The 27,917-nt window shown below is 54.0% G+C and overlaps 1 protein-coding gene across 77 annotated transcripts in view, besides 2 other annotated features; it reads right to left on the bottom strand.

The window, feature by feature from the left end:
* Positions 1–837: 837 nt before the first annotated feature.
* FCHO1 (FCH and mu domain containing endocytic adaptor 1) overlaps positions 838–27,917 on the bottom strand; it is a 40,818-nt gene continuing 13,738 nt past the window's right edge. For 17 of the 77 annotated variants that reach the window (NM_001384370.1, NM_001384376.1, NM_001384375.1 and 14 more), the window contains 25 exons: positions 26,546–26,637; positions 24,950–25,024; positions 22,589–22,730; positions 18,822–18,974; positions 18,503–18,607; positions 16,844–16,942; positions 16,658–16,754; positions 15,116–15,160; positions 14,921–15,005; positions 14,319–14,343; positions 13,886–13,943; positions 13,238–13,416; positions 13,128–13,152; positions 12,713–12,764; positions 11,171–11,262; positions 10,515–10,790; positions 8,056–8,168; positions 7,860–7,947; positions 7,579–7,687; positions 6,227–6,382; positions 5,164–5,296; positions 4,475–4,674; positions 2,770–2,825; positions 1,553–1,717; positions 838–1,115 (listed from right to left, as the gene is read on the bottom strand). In NM_001384370.1, the coding sequence (NP_001371299.1) occupies positions 1,093–1,115; positions 1,553–1,717; positions 2,770–2,825; positions 4,475–4,674; positions 5,164–5,296; positions 6,227–6,382; positions 7,579–7,687; positions 7,860–7,947; positions 8,056–8,168; positions 10,515–10,790; positions 11,171–11,262; positions 12,713–12,764; positions 13,128–13,152; positions 13,238–13,416; positions 13,886–13,943; positions 14,319–14,343; positions 14,921–15,005; positions 15,116–15,160; positions 16,658–16,754; positions 16,844–16,942; positions 18,503–18,607; positions 18,822–18,974; positions 22,589–22,730; positions 24,950–25,024; positions 26,546–26,637 (2,643 nt within the window). In that variant the 3' untranslated portion in view covers positions 838–1,092. Of the gene's footprint in view, positions 1,130–1,552; positions 1,718–2,769; positions 2,826–4,474; positions 4,675–5,163; positions 5,297–6,226; positions 6,491–7,578; positions 7,688–7,859; positions 7,948–8,055; positions 8,169–10,514; positions 10,791–11,170; positions 11,263–12,712; positions 12,765–13,127; positions 13,153–13,237; positions 13,417–13,885; positions 13,944–14,318; positions 14,344–14,920; positions 15,006–15,111; positions 15,161–16,657; positions 16,755–16,843; positions 16,943–18,502; positions 18,608–18,821; positions 18,975–22,588; positions 22,829–24,949; positions 25,025–26,545; positions 26,638–26,810; positions 27,030–27,917 lie in introns of all 77 variants that reach the window. The other 60 variants (NM_001384396.1, NM_001384398.1, NM_001384400.1 and 57 more) reach the window with 33 other exon arrangements.
* Positions 12,633–12,972: an enhancer, noted in NCBI's record as "active region_14285". NCBI's record gives its function as "activates an Ori minimal core promoter by ATAC-STARR-seq in GM12878 lymphoblastoid cells {active_cell/tissue: GM12878}" and the evidence as "EXISTENCE:reporter gene assay evidence [ECO:0000049][PMID:35858748]".
* Positions 22,644–23,181: an enhancer, noted in NCBI's record as "H3K4me1 hESC enhancer chr19:17877027-17877564 (GRCh37/hg19 assembly coordinates)". NCBI's record gives its function as "activates a minimal SCP1, AML or CMV promoter by ChIP-STARR-seq in primed H9 embryonic stem cells {active_cell/tissue: H9 hESC(primed)}" and the evidence as "EXISTENCE:reporter gene assay evidence [ECO:0000049][PMID:30033119]".

Genomic DNA, 27,917 nt, shown 5'->3' with positions numbered 1-27,917 from the left:
AGTCTGGGCTTGCTCCCTGGGGTCTGTACAGCCTCAAGGTCAGGAACACGGGCCCTGGTTCCCTGAATATCCATCAGGACCCAAGACTGTCCACTGGGCTCAGACCTGCTCCCCACTGCAGTCTGCTGTTACTGCTTCTGTCCTGCCCTCCCCAGTGGGCCATTCTTGCACACCTGCACCAAGGTCCACCCTCCTCCTGGGGCTCCCAAAGCTGCCTGGTACTAGTGGGGGTTTTGCCCTGTAGTTGGCACTCTTCTAAGTGTGTGACCTCCCACAGATATCCAGTGAGGTGAGTTGCAGATGAGCTGAGGCTCAAGTCCCGTGCTTAAAGTCACACAGCCAGTGGCCGCCAAGCAGGCTCCTCACTCAGGCTTCCTATCTCCACTTCCTGGGTTCCAAGAACTTTGTCCTGCTCATAGCTCTCTCTCTGCTACATGGTATACAGTAGATACTCAATTAATATTTGTAGGTTGACTAATTGCTTCCTCATTGAACTAACAACCTTCCATCACTTTGCTTGGGATGCCCATTCCTATCTTGCAAACTCCTACTCATACCTCAAAACCTCATTTATAATGCCCCCTCCTTAGAAAGTCTTCCTGACTGCTTGGGAAGACTCCTGACACCCCTTTCTGGGCTTCTGTAGTCCTCCTCCCTCCCTATAGCCCACCTCTGAGCCCATGGGGCTGGGGTATCTGTGTTGTTCTTTCTCTCCCAGAATGGCCCTGTACCGGTTGAGCGCAGTGCAGGGAGGGAGGTACATTAGGTCTCTCGTATCCATCCACCTTCTCTTCCTCCCCTCTCTGGCAACGCAAAGGATACTTCCTGGAGCAGGAAAAGGTTTCCTTTTTTATTTTATTAGAAAATAAAGTGTTTATTCAAAGAACATTAAAAGGCCGGGACCTGTGTGGGGTTGGCATGAGGGGGAGGAGCGAATCTCGGGCTCAGCCAGGCTGGGCATGGGGCTCCTCTCCGTGGAGTATGGGCCTCAGGGAGGCTGGGGTGGGAGGCCCCAGGGTCCGGCAGGAGGGCAGGGGGTGGTCAGCCAGCACCAGGGCGCAGTGTAGAGCTGGGGCAGCAGCATTTGCGGGTTCAGCAGCTCACCAGGTACATCCCTGTGGGGGTGCAGCTGTGAGGGGGAGGGGTGGGGAGGAGGGGTACGGGAGGGGTTCCCCGGCTCTGACCCTGGGATGCTTCAATCATCCTTGTCCTCTTCAAAACACCCCTGTAACTCATAGTCCCTGTTGCCACTGGGCCCCAGGAGCCCCTTGTTGGGGGCAGGAGAACAGGGTGGGGCTGGAGGAGGGGGTGGCAGGGGGGACTTCGGGCTCCCTGGCTGGGGTCCTTCCAAGGACGTCCTCCAAGGGCCAGCCCCAGATACACAGGGCCCTGCCTCCTTGCCCACCTGTGCCCCCCATCTGGGGTCTCCTGGCCCCAACACCCACCTATCTTTCCCAAGGATCCCCACACCCCAATCCCTCCCCACACCCCGGGGCTTGCCCCTGTAAGATCTCGGCTCCTGAGGTCACCCAGCAGCAGGGTTGGGGAGTACCTGTGGCAAACCTCCTCTTCACCAGCGACATGCGGTAACCGCTGCCCACCAGTTCCAAGTCCACGCCCGACAGAGTGGTCCCCTCGCTGGTGAACTGTGCAGCCACGGGGCTGGGTGTGCTGGGCCCTGAGAGCGGCTCCCAGCTGGCAGAGAGGCGGCCAGAACCTGGGGAGACCTGCAGTCAGCTGCGCCCTGGCACCAGCCCCCGTCCCAGCTGTGAACCAGGCTCATCTTTGGCCCACACCTGAAGCCCTCTGTTCTGTGGCCTTTATGTGCCCCATCAGACCTCCCTTTGATCCCCTGCATCTGTCTCTCCTGGCATCACTGGGCTTTGTATGGCTAGCAAGGGAGTCCTGCCTCAGGGCCTTTGCACCTGCTGTGTCTGGCCATCTGGCCCTGGGACGCCCTCTCCTTCAGCTTTTTTTTTTTTTTTTTAGAGACAGGGTCTGGCTCTGTTGCCCAGGCTGGAGTATAGTGGTGCAATCATAGGTCACTGCAGCCTCTAACTCCTGGGCTCAAGTGATCCTCCCACCTGGGCCTCCCAAAGCACTGGGATTACAGACCTATGCCACTGTCCTTGGCCCTCCTCCAGCTTTTTTTTTTTTTTTTTTTTTTTTTTTTTTGAGACAGAGTCTCGCTCTGTCACCCTGGCTGGAGTGCAGTGGCACGATCTCGGCTCACTACAACCTTCACCTACTGGGTTCAAGCGATTCTCCTGCCTCAGCCTCCCAAGTAGCTGGGATCACAGGTGCGTGCCACCACACGCGGCTAATTTTTATATTTTTAGTAGAGACAGGGTTTCACCATGCTGGCCAGGTTGGTCTTGAACTCCTGACCTCAAGTGATCTACCCACCTCGGCCTCCCAAAGTGCTGGGATTACAGGCGTGAGCCACCACACCTGGCCTTTTTTGTTTGTTTGTTTGTTTTTGAGTCAGAGTCTGGCTCTATTGCCCAGGCTAGAGTGCAGTGGTACGATCACGGGTCACTGCAGCCTCCAACTGCTGGACTCAAGTGATCCTGCATTCTGGGCCTCCCAAAGCACTGGGATTACAGACCTATGCCACTCAGCCCGGCCCTCCTCCAGCTTTTAAAGACTTCCTCAATGCCCATACTTGCCCGCCCTCAGTATGTCCCCAATTCTTCCCCAACATAAATAAGTGCCTCCCACCTGACCCCAGTCCCTCCCACCCAGCCCTCATACACAACCACAGCTCACCGCCTGCCTCGGACACATCTGGAAGCCTCCAAGTGAGCCGCTTCTCCTCCAGGTTCCTGGCAGAGAAAGAATCTTAATCAGGGCTTCCCCAGAGAGGATGCTGAGAGCCCAGGGTCCTGCCTCAGCTGCCTCCTGGCTGTGTGACCCCAACAAACCTTCTCCCCCACTTCACCTCAATTTCCTCATCTGTGAAATGAGGGTGAGATATGGAACAGCCGTGGAGCCACACAGCCTTGCAACACTTCTGTGTGTGTGTGTGTGTGTGTGTTTGTTTTGTGTTTTTTTGTGTGTTTTTTTGAGATGGTGTCTCCCTCTGTCGCCCCGGCTGGTGTGCATTGGTGCGATCTCTGCTCACTGCAGCCTATGCCTCCTGGGTTCAAGCGATTCTCCTCCCTCAGCCTCCTGAGTAGCTGGGATTACAGGCGCCCGCCACCACGCCTGGCTAATTTTTGTAATTTAGTAGAGACGGGGTTTCACCATATTGGCCAGGCTGGTCTCAAACTGCTGACCTCAGGTGATCCACCTGCCTTGGCCTTCCAAAGTGTTGGGATTACAGGCATAAGCCACCATGCCCGGCTTCCTTGCAGCACTTTTAGATGACGCATTCTGTCCTATAAGTCTGGCTTCTTCACAACAGACTTTTTTTTTTTTAAATTTTTGTTTTTTAAGAGACAGTTGTCACCCAGGGTAACTCCTTGAAGCCTCAACTCCTGGGCTCAAGTGATCCTTCTGTCTCAGCCTCCCGAGTAGCTGGGACTACAAGAGCACACTACCACTACTATTTTTTTTTTTTTTTGAGACGGAGTCTCACTCTGTTGCCCAGGCTGGAGTGCAGTGGCATGATCTCAGCTCACTGCAACCTCCACCTCCCGGGTTCACGCCATTCTCCCACCTCAGCCTCCCAAGTAGCTGGGACTACAGGCACCCGCCACCATGCCCGGATTTTTTTTTTGTATTTTTAGTAGAGACGGGGTTTCACCATATTAACCAGGATGGTCTCGATCTCCTGACCTCGTGATCTGCCCATCTCGGCCTCCCAAAGTGCTGGGATTGCAGGTGTGAGCCACCGCACCCGGCCTGACTACTTTTTAAAATATTTTTTTGTAAGGCTGGGTGCAGTGGTTCATGCCTATAATCGCAGTCCTTTGGGAGGCCGAGGCGGGTGGATCACCTGAGGTCAGCAGTTCGAGACAAGCCTGACCAACATGGTGAAACCTCATGTCTACTAAAAAAACACAAAAATCAGCTGGGTGTGGTAGCAGGCACCTGTAATCCCAGCTATCCGGGAGGCTGAGGCAGAGAAAATCGCTTGAACCCGGGAGGCGGAGATTGCAGTGAGCTGAGATCGTGCCACTGCACTCCAACCTGCACGACAGAGCGAGACTTCATCTCAAAGTAAATAAATTAAATAAATAAATAAATAAACAAAATATTTTTTGTAGAGATGAGATCTCACCATATTGCCCAGGCTGGTCTCAAACTCCTGGCCTTAAGTGATCCTCCCACCTCAGCCTCCCAAAGCACTGCAATTACAGGCATGAGCCACTGCACCTGGCACTCATAACATCACCCTTAGTGCTAAGCAGGGTGGGCTCACAGTTAACGGTCAGGCCGAGGGTGCACCCTTTAATCAATGCATCAGGGAGAAGGTCTGGGGTTATGGGGGAAACTGCTGAGTTTTCCTTGGCCTCCCGCAAGCCCTCACCAGGTGGCAGCCGGCTGCAAGCGGACGTTGGTCACAGGCTCCCCCACAGGCAGCAGGATCTGGACGTTCGTGAGTGGTGTGGGCACAGCCGTGGCACCGGGCCGGTAGCCGTACTCCACTGAGACCTGGGTGAGGGTGGCTCCACACTGCCAGTGGGCACTGAGCTGCAGAGGCACAGACTGGGGACCCGGGCGGGAGAACTAGGAAGAATGAGAATGAGAGAGAGGACACAGCTTGGGCCATCCTGTCTTGCCACACCATGCGCTATTCAACCACCTTGACCCTGCGATGCACGCACCGCCCCAAGGGGGTCCAGTCACAGGGAGATTTGATGGATGAGAGGCTGTATTACACCAGGTTTCCAGCAGGGGGCAGGAGAGCGCCTCATTCTAACAAAGTCTCCCAGGGAAGTTCAAGTGTAAGGTTCCGGGGCTGGGCTGCTTCTAGTTCACATAAACATACTATCTGCAACAGGGGATGCACGCTCTTCCACACTGCCTACTCCTCCACCGTTCATTCCCGACCCACACTGCCTACTCCCTCCAGCTCATCGGCTCTCACAGATTGGATCTCTTGAGGTCAGGAATTCGAGACCAGCCTGGCCAACACGCAGGCGCCTCCATGTCTGCTGCCGGCTCACCGTGTCCCCCACTCCACCACCTCCTCCCGGCCCCATGCGGGTGGCGCACCTGGTATCGCAGCAGCACCACGTTGTAGTAGGAGGCAGTGGGGTTCTGCTCTGCCTGGCGCTGCAGGGCTTCGGTCAGAGCTGCCATGTTGAGCCAGAAGTCTTTGGTCTCAGGGTCACTCTGGGAGGGGTCACTGCAGAGACCCGGACTGATCACCCCAATCCTCGGGACATGCCCTCCCAGGGCTCCCAGCATTCAATCTACCCCTTCCTAAAGATGCAATTTCCTGGCCCACCCTGGGCCCAGCAAAGCCCTACCTGGGTGGTTGTGGTGCGGGCAGTAAAGGAGGGATGGAAAACAAGGGTCAGAGAGGGCAAGTTACTTGCCCCACGCCACACAGCAAATCCCAGGAGGTGGCTGGGTGTGGTGGCTCATGCTTGTAATCCCAGCACTTTGGGAGGCTGAGACGGGTGGATCACCTGAGGTCAGGAGTTTAAGACCAGCTTGACCAACATGGTGCAACCCCATCTCTACTAAAAATACAAAAATCAGCCAGGCATGGTGGCACATGCCTGTAATCCCAGCTACTCAGGTGGCTGAGGCAAGAGAATCACTTGAATCCGGAAGGCGGAGCTTGCAGTGAGCCGAGATCACGCCACTGCACTCCAGCCTGGGCAACAAGAGCAAAACTCCATCTCAAAAAAATAATAATTAAAAAAAAAAAATCAAGCCGGGTGTGGTAGCTCACGCCTGTAATCCTAGCACTTTGGGAGGCCAAGGCGGGCGGATTGCCTGAGCTCAGGAGTTTGAGACCAGCCTGGGCAACATGATGAAACCCTGTCTCTACTAAAATACGAAAGAAATTAGCTGGGTGTAGTGGCACGTGCCTGTAATCCCAGCTACTTGGGAGGCTGAGGCAGGAGAATTGCTTGAACCCGGGAGGCGGAGTTGCAGTGAGCCGAGATGACGCCATTGCACTCCAGCCTGGGCGACAGAGCAAGACTCCGTCTCTACAAAAAAAAAAGAAAAGAAAAAATCCCAGGAAGCAGAGAGGGAACTCAGAGTCCGGAAGCCTGATCCCCAGCAGCCTCCGAGGCCCTCTCCCACTGCCCCTCCATAGTACCTGAACAGCAGATCGGCGTTGGGCTGGAAGTGCTCAATAGCGGTTGTGTGTACAAGCCGGAAGCTGAGGACAGGTGGTGGTGGGGTCCCGCTGAACACACGCACGATGCCAGCAGGGAAGGTCATGGTCAGCTCCCCAGTTACTCGAGCCAGGCAGCTAGGGAGGATGAGGGGACTGGGTGTTGGCTTAGGGCTCTGCCTGGTGCCTCATCCTTCCCCTTCTCTTGGTTTCACTGGTGCCTGTGGCTCCCCAGACTCCTCGGATCTAGGAGGATGGCCCTGATGATCCCCCGTATCCTTTCCCCCAACCTCCTCTTTCATTCCTGCCTGGACAGGAAGAATCCACCCTGGGCTGAAGGAGGCAGGAACATCTCCATCCCTAGTTCTCTTTTCTCCTAGGCCACCAGGAAGCTCAAATTAAAATGTTCAGTTTTTTAGCTATCCTTTGCTTGGGTTTTTGATCTGACACTCTCCTCTTCTTCATGGTTTGACTTTCAGATCTTTTCTGCTGAAGGCCACCCCAATATATATCCCTGCACTCCGCTTGTCCCTAACCCACGCCCTTACCCACTTACTGGGCCTAACTTCTAGTATTACTCCCTTCATCTTAATGCCCACGGCAGCCTTGGCGTCTACAGCAATGCATAGCCCTGCTTAAATGCTCTCCTATGGCTGGGCACAGTGGCTCATGTCTATCCTCCCAGCACCTTGGGAGGCTGAGGCAGCTGGATTACTTGAGGCCAGGAGTTCGAGACCAGCCTGGCCAACATGGTGAAACCCTGTCTCTACTAAAGACACAAAATCAGCAGGGTGTGGTGGCATGTGCCTGTAATCCCAGAATTACTCGGGAGGCTGAGGCAGGAGAATCTCTTGAACCCAGGAGGCAGAGGTGGCAGTGAACTGAGATCACGCCACTACACTCCAGCCTGGGCAACAGAGTGAGACCCTGTCTCAAAACAAACAAACAAACAAATAAACAAACAAAAAGCACAATAATTTAGTCGGGTGCAGTGGCACGCATCTGTAGTTCCAGCTACTCGGGAGGCTGAGACAGGAGAATTGCTTGAACCCGGGAGGCAGAGGTTGCAGTGAGCTGAGATTGCGAGATTGCACCACTGCACACTCCAGCCTGGGCAGCAAGAGCGAAACTCTGTCTCAAAAAAAAAAAAAAAAAAAAAAAAAAAAAGGCCCTCCTATGGCTCCACTGCCCTCAGGACAGGGGCCTGGTCACTTGGCTCAGTGTTCAAGGCCCTTTCACTATAAGACAGACCATGAAGCACATCTGAAAGCTGTCCCTGCTGGACTCCCCCAACACAGACTTCCCACGGGCCCTGTCTGCCCATCACTGGGTACCTGGGGCTGTGGCCACGGAAGTAGGCGTGGACATACTCTGTGAAGGCTGTGGCTATGGGCAGGGCATCCTGGGAGCCCAGGACCACAGGGCTCGGACCCCGGGAGACTCCTGGGGGTGGTGGAGAGGGAATGGGGAACAACGGATAGACAGTGTGAATATAGGCTCCAGGCTCGAGACTCCCTCCGCCCAACCACACCTCTGCCAACAGAGAAGCCACCCACCCAGACCAGAGAAGGTGACACTGAGGCCCAAAGCCAGGCCCAGGACCGCCCTCACATACCGTGTCCTGTCTGGGATAAGAAGCTGGGCCGTTCCAAGGCAGTGCTGGCGGCTGAAGAGCCCAGTGGGGAGGGGCTCAGGGAACGAGACTGGAAGGGAAAGAGACAATCTTGGCTGTGAGTGCCCCAGGACCAGTGCCCAAAAGCGGACCCCAGACGCGACCCCCAGTCCAGCTCCTGCCACGCCCCCTCACCTACCAGGTCCCCATTGCTACGTGTGAGAGGGCAGGACACCTTCCTAGAGCGAAGTCTCCTGGGTGGGGCTGCCAGGCCCTCCCTGGCTGTGGGGTCAGCAGGTGCAGGCATCAGGTCTAGGAGCGAGTACAAAGAGGCACTGCTGAGATGCTGCCCGGGGCCTCTGGGGCCTCCCCAGGGGCACAAACTCAGCCAAAATCTTAGGAGGTGGGCTTTTCTGCAGAGACCCCCAATGGGTCTGAAGTCCTGGTGTTGCAGAAAAGGTGCCAGACAGGACTGCAGATACTGTCCACACCCCCAACCCTCCCAGACACCAGAATGGTGGCCCAATAAGGGGTGAGCTCCCCATCACTGGGGGTATGCAAGCAAGCACTGAAGGCTTAAGACGCAGGCATGCTGTAAGGGGGGTTCAGCAGAGGATTTTTAGCCAACATTCAGCCATTTTGTGACCTCTACCCTTTCCGAGAACCTGACTGCAGCCACCTACTGTGGTCTGTGTCTGAGTCTCATGCCTTTAACACCCAAGCTCCCCTCCCTCTCCTGCTTCCTCAGGGTCCTGGTTCTGTTCCATCTATGAACGTGCTCCCTTGCTTGCCAACCTCCCCTCCCACCTACCTCCCCTCTCACCTGTACCCCAAGCTGTGCTCCCCGCTCTACCCGACTTTCTCAGCCTCAGCACTGTGGATATTTGGGGGCTGGACCATTCTCGGGGGCGGGGGCTGCCCTGTGCACTGTAGGGTGCTGAGCAGCAACCCAGGCCTCCACCCACTGAATGCCAGGAGCACCACTCCTGCCTGGTGGTGACAACCAAAAATGTCTCCAGACACTGACAATGTCCCCTGGGGGGGCAGAATTTGCAGGGTTGGATAAGAGCCTCTACTCAGGCCGGGTGCGGTGGCTCACGCCTGTAATCTCAACACTTTGGGAGGCCGAGGCAGGCAGATCACCTGAGGTCAGGAGTTCGAGACCAGCCTGTCCAACATGGTGAAACCCCATCTCTACTAAAAATACAAAAATTAGCCACGTGTGGCGGTACGCACCTGTAGTCCCAGCTACTTGGGAGGCTGAGGCAGAAAACTGTTTGAACCTGGGAGGCAGAGGTTGCAGTGAGCCAAGATCACACCACTGCACTCCAGCCCGGGCAACAAGAGCAAAACTCCCTCTCAAAAAAAAAAAAAAAAAAAAGAGCTTCTTCTGCCCCCACTCTGTGGTCTCCACCCACTCAGCTCTCCCTTGAACGGGCTCCAGCCTGGCCCTTTCCTATGGAGGGTGCCAGGAGCCCTTGTTGACACTACTGGGGACCTCGGGTGGTCACAGCCCACAGTCCCTCTGACTCGGGGGCTTCCCATTCTCCTCAGACAGCCCCCAGGAGCCCATCCCGCCGCTCTCCCCCCATCTCCTGCTGTCCTCCTGTCTCCAACCCCTCTGGGCTCCCCGGCTGTCCTCTCCTCTGCTCTCCCTGGGCGGCTGCTCCTCCTGTTTTGATGACGTCTTCAAGGAGGGGGTGCTCTGACCTGACCTTCCCCACACTCAGGGTCCACTGTGCACCTGACACCTAAAGGCACAGCCTCGACGTCCCCCACCCCTCCCTGACTCCACCCCTTCCCCATCCTCCTCCCTCCCTTGTCTCCGCCCCTTCCCCATCCTCCTCCCTCCCTTGACTGTCCCTTCCCCATCCTCCTCCCTCCCTTGACTCCGCCCCTTCCCCATCCTCCTCCCTCCCTTGACTCCGCTCCTTCCCCATCCTCCTCCTTCCCTTGACTCCGCTCCTTCCCCATCCTCCTCCCTCCCTTGACTCCGCTCCTTCCCCATCCTTACTCCTCCGAACTCTCCCCTGCAGCGACCTTTCCACCTGCTTCTCCCACTGCCACCCTTACCCCCATCGCCTACTTGCCTCCCTGGTTGCCTCCCCAGTCTCTGGTTTCTGCCCTCACTCCCGAAGCTGCCAGAGGGAGCCTGTGACCCCTGAGTCAGGTCCCGCCCCTCCCCTGCTCATGGCCCTCAGCGTTACTCAGGGTAACATTCACAAGCCCTCCCTGGGCCCATCAGGCCCTTCCTGGTCCCTGCCTTCTCTTCTTCCTCCTTCCGTGATCACCCCGTTCCAGCAGGCAGACCTCCTTGCTGTTCTTCAGACAGGCCTAGCGCGCTCCTGCCCCAGGACCTTTGCAGGGGCTGTGCCCTCTGCCCAGCACGCCTTTCCCCTCATGTCCACGTGGTTCTGTCCTCACCTCCCTCAAATCTCAGCTCAGATGTCCCTTCCTCAGGGAGGGCCCCCACCTGGCACCCGCTACCGCCTGCCTTGCTAAATGTCCATCTCATTGTTGTCCCTGCAACGGTGGGAGGTTCTGCCTGCCTGGTCCTGGCTGTGTCTCCAGCAGCCTGATCAGGCCCTGCCCAAAGCAGGCGCTCAATCCCCCGCCCAGGGTTCCAGCAACTCTCAGGCCCAGGCCCGCTGGACTCACCTCCTCCGGCCAAGGCCTCCAGCCCCCAGGGGCCTGGAGACGAGGCGAGGGGCTGCGGCGAGTCTGGCAGAGGCGGTGCCCGGATACCCCTGGCCTCTGGGGGTGGCGCCCTACAGCTGGGCGGGCTCTGCGGGGTGCCTGGGCGGGGGACCCAGGAATCTGGGGAGGGGCCAGGTGCCGCGTGGGACGGAGAGTCCAGGCCGGAATCCTCCACGTTTTCGGGCGACGAGGAGGAGAAAGGGGAGGGGCTGGAGGTGAAGCCCAGGCTGCTAGAGCCTTGGGGAGGGAAGCGGGCGGTCAGCTCCGACCCTCGCCCACTCAGAGTCCCTGCCCATCCTCCTGCAGGCCACGGCCACGTCGAGGGAAGGTCAGGGGGGCCCCCATTCAAAGTCCTTGTGCACGCCCCCAAGGCTACACCTTCTGGTGACTTCCCTCTCCACAAATGTCCGGCCCATCCACTCAGTCACCGCCCACTGGCCAAGGCCCCACCCTATCTATGGCCCCTCCCACGCGCACTCTGGCCCCGCCCACCCCTACACGGACTAGTCCTCCCTCCAGCCTGGCTTCCAGGGGACCTCATTGGCCTAACTCTGCAATGGCCCCACCCAACCTCCCTCCGGCCACACCCATGCCCTCCAATCCCTTATCCCCATCACCTGTAAAATCTTCGTGGTCAAAGGCTGACTCCAGGGGCGGCCCAAAGAGGTTCTTGGACACCTGCTCCTCTGACTGCAATCTCTCTGCACAGCTAGAGAGGGTGAGGCCAAGAGGGCTGCTTCTATTTTTCCCAAGCCTCATCCCACCCTGGGGCCTTTGCACATGCTGTTCCCAGTCTTTTTTTTTTTTGAGACGGAGTCTTGCTCTGTCGGCCAGGCTGCAGTGCAGTGGCACGATCTCAGCTTGCTGCAACCTCCGCTTCCTGCGTTCAAGCGATTCTCCTGCCTCAGCCTCCAGAGTAGCTGGGATTACAGGCACCTGCCACCATGCCCGGCTAATTTTTGTATTTTTAGCAGAGACGGGGTTTTACCATGCTGGCCAGCCTGATCCCAAACTCCTGACCTCAAGTGATCTGGCTGCTTTGGCCAGTGCTGGGATTGCAGGTGTGAGCCACTGTGTGCAGCCTGTTCCCAGTCTGGAGTTCCATTTCCCCAGCTCTCTTCACAGTCACCTCCTAGCTCCTCTTTGGGGCTTAGCTCCAAGTCACCCCCTCAGGGAGGTTCCCAACCCCACCTCAAGGGAAGTCACCTCCTCCTGTCTTCGCGTCATCTGCTTTAGTTTCTTCGTAGCACTTAGAAGTATCGAATATGCTCTAACTTATTTGCTTTTTTTTTTTTTTTTTTTTTTTTTTTGAGACGGAGTTTCCTCTTGCTGCCCAGGCTGGAATGCAATGGCACAACAGTGGCTTACTGCAAGCTCCGCCTCCCAGGTTCAAGCGATTCTCCTGCCTCACCCTCTCGAATAGCTGGGATTACAGGCATGTGCCACCATGCCTGGCTAATGCTGTATTTTTAGTAGAGATGGGGTTTCTTTATGTTGGTCAGGCTGGTCTCGAACTCTCGACCTCAGGTGATCCGCCTGCCTTGGCCTCCCAAAGTGCTGGAATTACAGGCGTGAGCCGCCACGCCTGGCCCTATTTGCTATTCTTAAAATCTGGAGTCACTAGAATGTGACTCTGAGAAGGGAGACCTGTCTCAGAACCCAGACCCTAGAACAGCACAGGTACACAGCAGGCACTCAATAAATGTTCATCAAATGAATGACTAAATGGTCCCTCAAAAGCCAGCATGGGCCAGGCACAAGGGCTCATGCCTGTAATCCCAGCACTTTGGCAAGCCGAGGTGGGCAGATCACTTGAGGTCAGGAGTTCGAGACCAGCCGGGCCAACATGGTGAAACCCTGTCTCTACTAAAAATACAAAAGTTAGCTGGGCGTGGTGGTGGGTGCCTGTAATCTCAGCTACTTAGGAGGCTGAGGCATGAAAATCGCTTGAACTCAGGAGGTGGAGGTTGCAGTGAGCTGAAATCGCACTCCAGCCTGGGTGACAGAGTGAGACTCTGTCTCAAAACAAAAACAAAAACAAAAAAACCCCAGCATGACGTCAACTCCCAGCCGGGACAAGAGAACACCAGGCGGAGACATGGGGAGGTGGAGGGAGGAGGTGGGGACAGCCCCCACCTGCCCACTCGTGTGGAACCCACCTGCTGGTTCTGGGGGCAGACCGAGGTCTCTGGGGTTTCCCAGCAGCGTCCCCTACAAGAGATGCACCTCCTTCAGCCTTCTTGTCACCCTGCCTGCAATGCTCCCCACTCCACAGACCAAGGGACCGAGGCTCGGGGGTGTCCAGCCAGTTGCCCAAGGTGATCAGCAAATCAGGCAGACATGGATTCAAGCCTAAGCGAGCCTGTCTCCAGATGCTAGCTTCTCCTGGCCCCAGCTACCCCTTTCAGCTCTCACTTAATTTCATAATGACCTCATTTTACAGAAAAGGAGACTGAAGGTCAGTGTGGTTAAGCAGCCTGCCCAAAGTTACAAAACGGAGTTATGATTCAAGCCCAAACCCATAGCCTCCCTTCCTTAGGATCCTCCCCACTCTGAAGACCAAAGGCTACTCACGTGAAGAATGGCGTTTCATGGTGCCCTGTGGACAAAGTGGGCAACATCACACACGAATGCATCCAGCCAGCCTCTCTAGCAACACCCAGGGCACCCCTCCCACGCCTCACCCCTGGGCCAGGAGGAAGGATGAGGCTGCCCGCGGTGGCCCTGAGCTGTGCCGCTGCTGCCTCGGGGCTGCAGGCTGGAGCCCGGGCCGGGGCAGGCTTGATGTGCACATAGAACTTGCGGGGCTCTTCATCGTCGAAGTCGGAGTCGCTGGACGAGAAACGGGAGGGCTCGGCCGTGCGTGGGCTGCAGTCAAGGTCCAAGCCAATCCCAACACAAGCTTTCCCCCAGTCAGCTCTCCAATCCAGCCTCGTCCCTCCCTGCTCAAACCCTTCGAGGTCCTGCCCAATCCCATCGCTCACCACGCGCCACCTTCAGTCCTGACACCATGTCCCACCAGCACTCCCACCCCCCCCGAGAAGCCTTTGCACAAGCATGCCCAGAACTAACTGGCAAACTCCTATTCGGCTGCAAAACCCCAACACTGGTGCCCCCTCCTCCAGGAAGCCCTGCTAGATCTCCTTTTCTCTCTCCCTCTTGCCCAGTGCTGACCCCATAGAGTGGGTGTTTACATTTAGGTTGGCTTCATCCACAAAGGAGACTCTCTCCAGGATGTACACAGAGAGGACTGCTGAAGGTGGACTGGTTATTACGGAGAATTTTGTCCTTGCTGTGCCAACAACTGCCCCCAGGGGGTGCCAGAAGGATATTGTTCTGGGTCACATCAGGCCGGACAGTGAAACCTTCTTCATCCACCTCTGGACATGTCTAGGGGAGTCAGGGGGCAGCAGTGAGTCAGGCGCCCCACTATCGAACCTTCCATCTCACCCTGCCAACCGCCCCCCGCCCTGCCCCCAGGCCTTGACTCAGACCTCAAAACCAACCCTGATGGCAACGACTGTCTTCCCTGGGTGTGTGGGCAGGTTCCTGGGACAAACTGAGCTTCGGCAGGGACATTATTCACACCCACGTAGTCCATGGGACTTTGCAGCTGAGGTGGGATATGAACCCAGCCCCCAGGCTCCAGCCCGCCCCTCAATCTCGGCTCTTTAGTTTCCAGTAGGGATCGGGACTCTAGGAGCCAAGAGTGGGATCAAACTCCTTCCACTTGTAGCCCAGCCTGACCCCTCCCACATCACTCACCCCTGAATCGGGCTCCAGGAAATCTCTGGGGATGGAGGAAGAGATGTTGGTGTCAGCTTCCGCAGCCCATCTGGTGCCCCCTGTCAGCCCCCAACACTGGACATGGAAGCTGGGGCAGCTCCCAGACTGTGATACTGCCCTGAGCTAGCCCTAGAGGCGGTGGGACCATGGGGCTTGCTTGGGGAGGGGGTTGAATCTGAAGTTAGCTGAGTAGAGAGTGTTCTCAAACAGCCTGGGAGGGAAGGAATCCTGGAACTCATTTGAAGGGCTGCCTTGTGAAGATAGGGAAAGTCGGGGCTAGCCTTGGCAAACAGAACAATCCTGGGCCAGCTTGGGCAGGGAAGATGCTACGTTACTCTGGGACAGGCAATTCCTGGCCTAACCTAGCAAAAGGAAGAATTCTGGACTAGCTTGGGCAGCGGTAATATTGAGCTAGCCGGGGGCAGAGGTACTCCTGGTCTAGCTCAGGTAGAGGGAATCCTGGTCCAGCCTGGAATATGGATACTCCTGGGCTATCCTAGGAGGGGACTTCTGGGATAGCCTGGGCAGGGGAGGGGATCTCGGTCTAGCCTGGGCCAGACCGGGCAGGGGTGCTTCCTCACACAGCTGCAGGTGGCTCTGGCTCCCGCTCCCGCCGGCTTAGTCCTGGAAGGCGAAAGGCCTTGGCTCCCCGCAAACGTTTCATCGCTGAGGATAGATTGGGGGGCACCTGAGCACTGTGAGCCTCCTTTCACATTCAGATCAGCCTCCCTCACCCCCATGGTCCAGCCTGGGCATCCAGGCCCAGACGTACTTGCCTTCCTGCAGGGCAGCCGCACTGTATGCCTCGAAGTCCAGAGGTCCTGAGACAGGAGACGGAAACTCAATTGAGGGGCTGGGCACGGTGGCCCATGCCTGTAATCCCAGCACTTTGGGAGGCTAAGGCGGGCGGATCACCTGAGGTCAGGAGTTCAAGACCAGCCTGGCCACCATGGTGAAACCCTGTCTCTGCTAAAATTACAAAAAAGCCGGACATGGTGGCAGGCGCCTGTAATCCCAGCTACTGGGGAGGCTGAGGCAGGAGAATCGCTTGAACCCAGGAGGCGGAGGTTGCAGTGAGCCGAGACTGCACCACTGCACTCCAGCCTGGGTGACAGAGCAAGACTCTGCCTCAAAAAAATTAAAAAAAAAAAAAAAAGAGAGAGAGAGAGAGAAAGAAACTAAATTGAGGGTGGGGAGACTGCGCTTGGAAAGGGTAGTACACTTTTGGCCACAAAATGGCACCTGGATCTGAACTCAAGGTCCATCAGGTTCCCGGACAAGAACCAGCCCCACATCATCAGAAGTGGGATGGACCAAGGGGCTGGTCTGGTTCCAGCAGGGCAGTGCCACCGCAGGGGGTGACATGAGCTACTTCTACATACTTCCAGCATTTGTGGCTGGAACTTGGGTTGGGTCGGGGAATGGACCATGCGTCTGTGCAGTGGGCTGGGCTTTGAGTGACAGGATAAGGAGTGGGAACTCTCTCCCAAGAACAATGGGGAGCCATGGAAGGTGTGTGAGCAGGAGGAGGACAAAACAGATCTGGGGCCTGTGAAGGGCAAGAGTGGGGCCCCATGCAGGGAGGGGAGACCTGAGCCAGGCCTGAGCCAGAGCGACAGGAGGGAGAAAGAACAGGTTTTGCTAGTTAACAAGACTTGAGGACGTAACTGTATACCAGCATTTAGTGAGTGCCTACTGTGTGCCTGGCACACCCTTTGCCCTTTACCTGCATGAAATCACTGAATGTTGCAACATTATTACATCCTCACTTTACAGATGAGGAAACTGAGGCTCAGAGAAGTCAAAGCACAGGTCCTAGGTCACACAGCAAGCGATGAAGAAAAGACTCAAACCCACGTCTCACTCTAAAACTTTTGCTCTTAACTCCTTCCCAGTCCTGCATCTGCGCATTCCCAAATTGTTCTTTTGCTCAACAACCCTCAATGGCTCCCTTAGGCCCTGGGGGTGAAGTCTGATCAGCCAAGCCTGGCATTCAAGGCTCCTCTGGGATCTGGTTCAAAGACATTTACACATAAGATCAGGCTGGAGAGCTGGACTTGTCAGCAGCCCATTTTTCCCATGAAGAAACCAAGGCCTGGCCATGTGCAGTGGCTCACGCCTGTAATCCCAGCACTTTGGGAGGCCGAGGCAGGCAGATCACCTGAGGTCAAGAGTTCGAGACCAGCCTGGCCAACATGGTGAAACCTCGTCTCTATTAAAAATAAAAAAATAAAAAAAAAATTAGCTGGGCATGGTGGCACATGCCTGTCTGCAGCTGTGGCCCCGAAGCCCGACCCCCAATGGCTGCCCTGACTCACCAGGCTTCTCCCGGCCTGTGCCCTTACTCTCTGCAAACTTCCTGAGTAGCATCTCCACGCTGACGTTCTCGATGTTCTGCTTAAATTCCTCATGCACCTGTGCCGGGTGGGCGGGGTGTGTAACTGGTCAAGGCCCCTTTGCCCAGCAGTGACCCCAGCCTCATTCCTCACACCTGCCCAACTCACCTGCCCAATCTGCACGTGCGTGTCCTCCACCGAGTGAGCATATGAGCCCAGCAGTGCCTTCATGTGCCTCAGGTGTGTCTCCTCCATGGCTTGGAAGCGCTGAAGCAGGAGGGCAGAGGCAGGTGGAAAGGAGGTCAGGGCCAAGAAGAAGTGGCCATATGACTCAGCCTGACCAATCAGAATACCCTAAGCCCTTGGCTCAGTGATTGATTTGGGGAAGGGCCAATGAGAGTCTGCCCTAGGACTTTCATTGACTCTACAGGAAAAGGCACTTCCATTCCTGAGCCAATGTGCTGATGGGATGTAAGTGGGGGTTGCTGGTGCCCAGTTTGATGCACACATGTGCATGCTTGCACACACATGCACACACACACACACACAAGGGGATGTCTGTGTGGGAGTGATGTCCCCAGAGAGAAAAACAGACTTAAGAAGCAGAAATAGTGGTCAGCTGTGGTGTATCATGCCTGTAATCCCAGCACTTTGGGAGGCCAAGGCAGGTGGATCATCTGAGGTCAGGAATTCAAGACCAGTCTGGGCAACATGGTGAAACCGTTTCTACTAAAAATACAAAAATTAGCTGGGTGTGGTGGCACGTGCCTGTAATCCCAACTACTAGGGAGGCTGAGGCAGGAGAATCACTTGAGCCCAGGAGGCGGAGGTTGCAGTGAGCTGAGATCACGCCACTGCACTCCAGCCTGAGTGACAGAGAGATCCCATCTCAAAAAAATAAAAGAAGCAGAAATTCACAATTTCCTGCCAGCACTATTTGAGCACATGGATTCAGCTATGACTGAAACCTCCACAACTCAAAAATAAAACTTTACAGTTCCCTGAGCTTGTCAGTTTTTTTAAATTTTATTTTTTATTTTATTTTTTATTTTTTTGAGACAGAGTCTCGCTCTGTCGCCCAGGCTGGAGTGCAGTGGCGCAATCTCGGCTCACTGCAAGCTCCGCCTCCTGGGTTCTCGCCATTCTCCGGCCTCAGCCTCCTGAGCAGCTGGGACTACAGGCACCCACCACCACGCCCGGCTAATTTTTTTGTATTTTTAGTAGAGAGGGGGTTTCACCGTGTTAGCCAGGATAGTCTCGATCTCCTGACCTCGTGATCCACCTGCCTCGGCCTCCCAAAGTGCTGGGATTACAGGCATGAGCCACCGCGCCCAGCCTTTTTCTTTTCTTTTCTTTTTTTTTTTTATATACACCTGTCGGTTTGAATGAAGGCTTCTATCACTTGTAACTTGAAAAAAGTTCTGATTCCTAATCCTCAGATTCCAATCTGCTTGAATTTATTTTATTTTTTCGAGACAGGGTTCCACTCTATCACCTAACCTGGAGTACAATGGCTCGATCTTGGCTCACTGCAACCTCCGCCTTCTGGTTCAAGTGATTCTCCCGCCTCAGCCTCCTGAGTAGCTGGGATTACAGGCACCTGCCACTACGCCCGGCTAATTTTGTATTTTTAGTAGAGACAGGCTTTCGCCATGTTGGCCAGGCTGGTCTCAAACTCCTGACCTCAGGTGATCCTCCCGCCTCGGCCTCCCAAAGTGCTGGGATTACAGGTGTGAGCCACCACACCCTGCCTGGGATTTCTGCAGTCCATAACCTCCAGGGCAAAGGCATGTGTGGGTCTTAAAGGTACAGATGCCTGGTTCTTACCAGGGCTGAGTCCAGCATCTTCTGCTCAAAGTCAGCTCGGGCTGAGTTGTATTTTTCCACTGAGCGCCGCAGGCTCTCTGCCGCCTTCTTGGTTTTAGTCTCCGCCTACAAAGCACAGGGAGGAAACGGGGATGGGAGGGCGATACTCAGGGGGCCTCCCCCAGGCCCCATCACCTGGCAGGTGAACTCCTCGGGGTACCCAGGGTGTGATCACCCACAGGTTCCAGGACCGTCGCTCTGGGATGTGTTTCCACTCTCTGATCAGGCAGCCCCTCCGCCCCGCGGCAAATTCCTCAGAACCCCCCCACTGTGAGCCCACCTTGTCCATCTCCTTCTGGCTGGTACTCTCCCTCCGCAGCCGCTCCTGGTCCATGCAACGGTTCAGGTAGTTCTCGCGGGACTTGGGCAGGAGCTGGCTGACGCCCGAGAGTACCTGCACAGCATCCAAGGTGCTCACCACTTCCTCCTTGCACTGCGGGGTAGGAGGGGATTTCATGGGTAGACTGTGAAATTCCTGACCTCCCAAACACTCCACGTGATGTCAGCTCCACAGTCTTTTTCTATGTGTGTGTGTGTGTTTTGGTTTGGTTTTTTTTAGACAGAGTTTCGCTCTTGTTGTCCAGGCTGGAGTGCAGTGGCACGATCTCGACTCACTGCAATCTCTGCCTCCCGGTTTCAAGCAATTCTCCTGCCTCAGCCTCCCAAGTAGCTGAGATTACAGGTGCTCACCATCACACCCAGATAATTTTTTGTATTTTTAGTGGAGACGGGGTTTCACCATGTTGGCCAGGCTGGTCTCTAACTCCTGACCTCAGGTGATCTGCCCACCTTGGCCTCCCAAAGTGCTGGCATTACAGGTGTGAGCCACCACGCCCGGCCTCTGTGTGTGTGTTTTAATAGCAATGGGGTCTTGCTATGTTGCCCAGGCTGGTCTCAAACTCCTACACTCAAGCAATCCACCTGCCTCAGCCTCCCAAAGTGTTGGGATTACAGGTGTGAGCCACTACGCCCGGCCTGTACGTTTTTCATTTCAAAACATTTTTAACTTTAAAAAAAAGTACTATTTACACATGGTTCATATTTCAGAAAGTTGTAAGAGGTAAGCCAGGAAAAAGCCTCCCATATATGGGCCCTCCAGCCTAGAAGTCCCCAATTATTACTGTGATACTTCTCTAGAAATAATCCGCATATGGATAAAGATGCTTGTTCTAACCCAAGTTTTATGACAAACAGTGGCAGACTGTGTTGCTTAACTCACCGTTTTGTGTGTGTGTGTGTGTGTGTGTGTGTGTGTGTGTGTGTGTGTGTGTGTGTGTTTGAGACGAAGTCTCGCTGTGTCACCCAGGCTGGAGTGCAGTGGCGCGATCTTGGCTCACTGCAAGCTCCGCCTCCCGGGTTCACGCCATTCTCCTGCCTCAGCCTCCTGAGTAGCTGAGACTACAGGCGCCGCCACCACGCCCGGCTAATTTTTCTTTTGTATTTTTAGTAGAGACGGGGTTTCACCGTGTTAGTCAGGATGGTCTCGATCTCCTGACCTCGTGATCTGCCTGCCTCGGACTCCCAAAGTGCTGGGATTACAGGCTTGAGCCACCGTGCCAGGCCTTTTTTTTTTTTTTTTTTTTGAGGCGGAGTCTTGCTCTTTCACCCAGGCTGGAGTGCAGTGGCACAATCTCAGCTCCCTGCAACCTCCGCCTCCCGGGTTTAAGCGATTCTCCTGCCTCAGCCTCCCAAGTAGCTGGGATTACAAGCATGCACCACCATGCCCGGCTAATTTTGTATTTTTAGTAGAGACAGGGTTTCACCATTTTGGCCAGGCTGGTCTTGAACTCCCGACTTCAGGTGATCTGCCCGCCTCAGCCTCCCAAAGTGCTGGGATTACAGACATAAGTCACTGTGCCCAGCTTTTTTTTTTAAGAGATGGGGTCTCACTGTGTTGCCCAAACTGGTCTCTAACTCTTAGGCTCAAGCAATTCTCACACCTCAGCTCAGCCTCCCAAGTAGCTGGGACTACAGGCATGCACACCACGCCTGGCCTGCTTTTACCACTTAAAAATTCACTCCTGGCCAGGCACAGTGACCCATGCCTGTAATGCCAACATTTTGGAAGGCTGAGGCAGATATGTTAGATGTTTGACCAGCCTGGGCAACACAGCAGGACCCCTTCTCTCTCTCCTTTTTTTTTTTTTTGCCTTGTTTTGTTTTTGAGACAGAGTCTCACTCTGTTGCCCGGGCTGGAGTGGTGTGTCGCGATCTCAACTGACTGCAACCTCCACCTCCCAGGCTCAAGTCATTCTCCTGTCTCAGCCTCCTGAGTAGCTGGGATTACAGGTGTGTGTGCCACCACGTCTGGCTAATTTTTGTGTTTTTAGTATAGACAGGGTTTCACCATGTTGGCCAGGCTGGTCTGGAACTCCTGACTTCAAGTGATATGCCTGCCTCAACTTCCCAAAGTGCTGGGATTACAGGCATGAGCCATCGCTCCTGGCTAGCAAGATCCCTTCTATACAAAAAATTTAAAAATCAGCAAAGCCAGGCGCGGTGGCTCACACCTGTAATCCCAACACTTTGGAAGGCTGAGGCGGGCAGATCACCTGAGGTCAGGAATTCAAGACCAGCCTGGCCAACATGGTGAAACACTGTCTCTACTAAAAATACAAAAAATTAGCCAGGCGTGCACCAGCACACCTGTAATCCCAACTACCTGGGAGGCTGAGGCAGGAGAATTGCTTGAACCCAAGAGATGGAGATTGCAGTGAGCTGAGATTGTGCACACTGCACTCCAGCCTGGGCAACAGAGCAAGTCTCCATCTCAAAAAAACAAAACAAAACAAAACAAAAACAAAGTATTACCAACCCCCTTTTTAAACAAGACATAAAAACATGCAGATTTTGGAACTCTGTAAAGACAATGCATCTATGATTCTACAATTATAAGCTTTGGATATTGTGGAATTCTAAGAGTCTAAGATGGTTCTTCTGATTCTAGGTTTATAAGAGTGTAAAAATAGTAAATATGAATATCTGTAACTTCCAATGCTTTAGAACAGCTGTTGGCAAATGTTTTCTGTAAAGGGACAGATAGCAAATGTGTTTGGCTTGATACAAACACTTGAATCTGTCGCTGCAGTGCCAAACAGCCACAGATGACAGGCACATCAATGGGCATGGCTCTGTGCCAATAAAACTTTATTTACTGGCACTGATATGTGACTGTCATACAATTTTCACATGTGGTGAAATTTTATTTTTCTTTAGATTTTTTTCTAACCCTTTAATAATGTAAAAACCAGTGATAACCCATCTCTCTCTCTTGTTTTTTTTTTTTTTTTTTTTAGACAGTCTTTCTCTGTTGCCTAGGCTGGAGTGCAGTGGCATGATCATGGCTCACTGCAGCCTCGACCTCCCATGCTCAAGTGATCCTCCCACCTCAGCCTCCTGAGTAGCTGGGACTACCGGCATGTGCCATCATGCCTGGGTAGTTTTGGGTGTTTTTTTTTTTTTGGTAAAGATGGGGTCTCCCTATGTTGCCCAGGCTGGTCTCAAACTCCTGTAGGATCCTGGGCTCCAGCCATCCTCCTGCCTCAGCCTCCCAAAGTGCTGGGATTATAGGCATGAGTCACTACGCCAGGCCCAAACATTTTTTAAAAATTAGCCAGGCATGGTGGCGTGCAACGTAGTCCCAGCTATTCTGTGGGGGCTGAGGCAGGAGGTTCGCTTGAGCCCAAGTGTTTGAGGCTGCAGGGAGCTCTGATCACGCCACTGCATGTGGGTGACAGAGTGAGACCCTGTCTCTTAAAAACAAACAAGCAGAAAAAAAAAAAACCCTTCTTAGCTGTACAAACATTGGTGGGGGGTGGGCGGGATTTGGCCCGTGGGCCACAGTGTGCTAACTCCTGGTCTGGAATTTTGCAAGTTTGAAATTCAACAACGCTCAGGTCCGTAAGACCCTGGGCTTGACGTTGTGGAATTAACGGAATTCTCGGAGGCGGACATCCGCAGGTTATAAAGCCCCAGAAGATCTGGGGTCCTGTGAGCTGCCGGTGTTCCACACCCACCCAGCCGCTGGGCGGCGCCCACGACACACACCTTCTTGTGGGTCTTGAGCTGTTCCTCGCCGTAGCGGAGAACGTCCTTGATGAGATCCTGTAACTTCCGTGTCAGTTCCAGGTGGCACAGCGCCAGCTTGTCCGAGGAGACGCGGAAGACCTCCCAGAGCGGGGCGAAGGTCCTGGGGGCGGGCAAGGTCACACCCAGGGTTCATCAGGCTCACCCCACCCCGGGACAGCGCTGGCACTGGCTCAGGTATGTGCTGCACGCTGAGCCCTGCTAAACATGAATGAATACTAATTCATATAATCTCCATGGCAGCTGTAAGAGGCGGGCCTGTGACAGATGGGGAAACTGAGGCATAGGGAGCTCTATAGCTCCTCCCAAGGCCCCTCAACAAATCAACATTAGAGCTGGAATTTAAACGCAGGCCCTGGTAATCCCAGCACTTTGGGAGACCGAGTCGAGCAGGTCACTTGAGGTCAGGAGTTCCAGACCAGCCTGAGCAACATGGTGAAACCCCCGTCTGTACTTAAAATACAAAAATTAGCTGGGTGTGGCAGAAGAATCGCTTGAACCCGGGAGGTGGAGCTTGCAGCGAGCCGAGATCACACCACTGCACTCCAGCCTGGGTGACACAGCGAGACTCCATCTCAAAAAAAAAAAAAAAAATGGTTCACGCCTGTAATCCCAGCACTTTGGGAGGCTGAGGTGGGCAGATCACAAGGTCAGGAGATTGAGAGAGCATCCTGGCTAACATGGTGAAACCCCGTCTCTACTAAAAATACAAAAAATTAGCCGGGCGTGGTGGTGGGCACCTGTAGTCCCAGCTACTCGGGAGGCTGAGGCAGGAGAATGGCGTGAACCCAGGAGGCGGAGCTTGCAGTGAGCCAAGATCGCGCCACTGCACTCCAGCCTGGGCGACAGAGTGAGACTCTGTCTCAAAAAAAAAAAAAAAAAAAAAAAAGAGTGACTAAGACACCACATGCCCCAATCGAGTCAATTTGGCCTGCCCCACTCAGCAGAAGCCCCATCCAGCCTCCCTCCACCTTCTCCTCCTGCTGCCTCCACTTCTGCCTGCCCCACAGAACTTTTGCCTCATAGCAGCCACAAAGAAAACTGCAAATGCCATCGGGGGACCACATTATGTGTTTTGTTTTTATTTTTGTTTTTTTTTGAGGCATGGTCTGGCTCTGTCACCCAGGCTGAAGTGCAGTGGTACAATCATGGCTCACTGCAGCCTCCATCACCTGGGTTCAAGCCATCCTCCTGCCTCAGCCTCCTAAATAGCTGGGACTGCAGGCACATGCCACCATGCCCGGCTAATTTTTGCATTTTTAGTAGAGACAGGGGTTTCTCCATGTTGCCCAGGCTGGTCTCGAACTTTTGGCCTCAAGTGATCCTCCCACCTCAGCTTCCCAAAATGCTGGGATTAAAGGCTTGAGCCACCGCGCCCGGGCACAAGGTTCATGCAAAGTCATTTGTGTGTCAGGCCCCTGAGGCCTCACCCTGCCATCTCCCCTCCTACTTCCTTTCCACGTTGCCCAAGCCCTGCAGCCAGGCCAGCCTCCTCACTCTTCCGTAAACATGCCACGCCTGTCAACTCAGGGCCTTCGCACTGGCTGAGCCACTTGCCCGGGTCTCTGTCCCTCAGACATCCCCATGGCCTGCCCCTTTCTATTAAGGTCTCAGTTCAGGGAGGTCGGGCCCACCCCAGAGAAAGTGCCCGATCTCTCACACTCCTATCTCATTCCCTTCCCAGCACTTTTTTTTTTTTTTTTTTCAAAACAGAGTTTTCGCTCTTATTGCCCAGGCTGGAGTGCAGTGGCACAATCTCGGCTCACTGCAACCTCCGCCTCCTGGGTTCAAGCGATTCTCCTGACTCAGCCTCCTGAGTAGCTGGGATTACAGGCACCCGCCACCACACTCGACTAATTTTGTATTTTTAGTAGAGAGGAGTTTCACCATGTTGCCCAGGCTGGTCTTGAACTCCTGACCTCCGGTGATCCGCCCACTTCAGCCTCCCAAAGTGCTGGGAGTACAGGCATGAGCCACCGCACCTGGCCCCCTTCCCAGCACTTTTCACCTCAGAAAAAAAATGTTTTTGTTTGTATTTAACATCTCTCTTCTCACACAGCCCAGATGTACATTGCATGAAGGTGGCTGGGGTTTTATCTGTCTGGGTTGCTGCTGGTGCTTGGCACACAGAAGGCACTCAAAAAATATTTGTGGAATGAATGAATGAGCTAGTGTGTGAATGAATGATATACATCCCTCTATCCAAATAGCCCCATAATCGAGGTGGATGACACTCTATTCTACATGCACCGAGTGTGAAGAGATGTCCACCAAGGAGGAGGCTCCCAATGTCCCCATGTTGGTGACCCCTACCCCACTCACCCCATGGGGGTCCCGTTGCTGGCCAGCTTGGAGAGTTTCGCCATCGCCTTCGAGTAGGTCTCCTCGATGGTGGCCCTGGGGAGGAGAATGAGGTAAAGATGGAGAAACTGCCCGGGCGCAGTGGTTCACGCCTGTAATCCCAGCACTCTGGGAGGCCGAGGCGGACGGATCACCTGAGGTTAGGAGTTCAAGACCAGCCTGGCCAACTTGGTGAAACCCTGTCTCTACTAAAAATACAAAAATTAGCCAGGTGTGGTGGTGCATGCCTGTAATTCCCAGCTACTGGGGAAGTTGAGGCATGAAAATCGCTTGAACCTAGGAGGTGGAGGTTGCGGTGAGCTGAGATCGTGCCACTGCACTCCAGCTTGGGTGACAAAGCAAGACTCCATCGCAAAAAAAAAAAAAGATGAAGAAGCTTTCAGACACCCTTGAGAGAGGCACTGCTCCTCTGGGCCTCAGTTTCCCCATCTCAAACACCTTAGCAGTGGCTTTCCATAATGGGGGGATGACACAACACTCTGAGGGATGTTTTGAAAATTCATAGAAGATTTTTTCTTACGTAATATATTTTATTAACAACAGTAGTAGGCTGGGCATGGTGACTCATGCCTGTAATCCCAGCACTTTGGGAGGCCGAGGCAGGAGGATCACTGGAACCCAGGGGTTCGAGACCACCCTGGGCAATATAATGAGACTCCTTCTCTACAAAAAAAATTTTTTTTAACTTAGATAGGTGTGGTGGTGCATGCCTGTAGTCCCAGCTACTCAGGATCCTGAGGTGGGAGGATCGCTTGGGCCCGGTAGGTCGAGGCTGCAGTGAGCTATGATCAGATCACCCTGGGCAACAAAGTGAGACTCTGTCTCCAAAAAGAAAAAAAAAAAAAAAGGCAGAGTGCAGTGGCTTACATCTGTAATTCCACCACTTTTGGAGGCTGAGGCGGGCGGATCGCCTGAGGTCAGGAGTTTGAGACCCGCCTGGCCAACATAGTGAAACCTCGTCTCTACTAAAAATAAAAAAATTAGCCAGACGTGGTGGCAGGCACCTGTAGTCTCAGCTACTTGGGAGGCTGAGGCAGGAGAATTGCTGGAACCCGGGAGGCAGAGGTTACAGTGAGCCGAGACTGCACCATTGCACTCTAGCCTGGGCAACAAGAGCAAAACTCTGTTTAAAAAAAAAAAAAAAAAAAAAAGCCAGATGTGGTGGTACATGCCTATAGTCCCAGCTACTCGGGAGCTGAGGTAGGAGGATCTCTTGAACTCAGGAGTTCGAGGCTGCAGTGAGCTATGATTGGGTCACTGCACTCTAGCCTGGGCAACAAAGCAAGATCTTGTCTCCAAAAAAAAAAATTCCAACCTTGAGTAGGTTATATCATCCTCTTTTGAGGAGGGGAGCTTTCGAAATCAGGTGATTGTTGTTTAAAAGGAGATATGGGCCTGACCGGGTTGAGAATCGGTCATTTCCAGGATTTTCGAGCCCCTCTGGTTCCTGGAATCCCCAGGGTTCTAGCCCCTGACCATGCAGGGCGTAGCCATTAGGTGGGCGTGACTACAGGATGGTGGGCGTGGCCTCTGGTGGATGGGGCTTGGGGACCTCACCTCTCCCGGATGAAGTCCGCCAGCTCCTTGGTGGAGATGGGCCCCTGCTTCACGCTGTGGTACAGGACCTCAAAGCCATGATTTTTCTCGCCCTGCAGGGGATGGGAATAGAGATTGAGAAAGGATGGAGAGAACATCATAGTTGCTTAGCAACGGGGGCGTGGCCAAGGAGCAGAAGTCCATCCCCTTGGCTGTAGGGACTTGTTCGGGCCTGAGCGAATCAGCTTGCTGCATTTCCCCTGGGCCATAGGGATTGTCTATGGACCTTAAATTTGTCCAATCAGAGAGAAGCCTGGGATTTTCTTTTTGTCCTATAGTTGCTGGGGAGGAATCTCATTTGTTCTGTGTCTTTGTCTCCTTCTGTCTTTGTGTCTCTGTCTTTCTCTCCGTTTTTCTGAGTCTCTCTGCCGTTTCTGTCTCAGTCTCCTCCCCTTTTCTCTTTGTGTCTTTCCATAAATGAGGAATTATGTGGCCACAGGGGATACTGGAAGTCAAATGGAAACCGTGAACCTTAGAAAGAAGCTGAACCAGAGGGCTTTTATATTTAAAAAAAAAAAAAAGTGTGTTGAGCTGGGCACGGTGGCTCACGCCCGTAATCCCAACACTTTGAGAAGCCAAGGTGGGTGGTTCACTTGAGGTCAGGAGTTCGAGACCAGCCTGGCCAACATGGCAAAACTCCGTCTCTACTAAAAATACAAAAATTAGCCAGGCGTGGTGGCGCGTGCCTGTAATCCCAGCTACTTGGGAGACTGAGGCAGGAGGATTGCTTGAGCCCAGGAGGCAGAGGTTGCAGTGAGCTGAGATCCTACCACTGCACTCCAGCCTGGGTATCAGAGCAAGACTGTCTCAAAATAAATGAATGAATGAATGAATGAATGAATGAAATAAAAATAAAAATAAATTGGAGTGGGTCACGCCTGTAATCCTAGCACCTTGGGAGGCTGAGGCGGGCGGACCATGAGGTCAGGAGTTTGGGATCAGCCTGGCCAGCATGGAGAAACCCTGTCTCTACTAAAAATACAAAAATTAGCCAGGCATGGTGGCGCACCCCTGTAATCCCAGCTACTTGGGAGGCCGAGGCAGGAGAATTGCTTGAACGTGGGAGGCAGAGGTTGCAGTGAGCCGAGATCACGCCATTGCACTCCAGCTCTGGGCAACAGAGGAAGACTCCGTCTCAGGGCGGGGGGGAAGTGTGTGTGTATATATATATATATATATATGTATATACATGAAAAGAAGTCAAATTGTCTCTCTTTGCAACATGAACTTATGTATAGGAAGGCCTAAACACACCACCAAAAAACTCCTAGAACTGATAAACAAATTCAGTTAAATTGCAAAATACAAATATCAACATGAAAATCAGTAGCGT

Source organism: Homo sapiens, chromosome 19 (genome assembly GCF_000001405.40).
Source record: "Homo sapiens chromosome 19, GRCh38.p14 Primary Assembly".
NCBI classification, from domain to species: Eukaryota; Metazoa; Chordata; class Mammalia; order Primates; family Hominidae; genus Homo; species Homo sapiens.
This window is presented reverse-complemented; position numbering and strand designations above follow the sequence as displayed.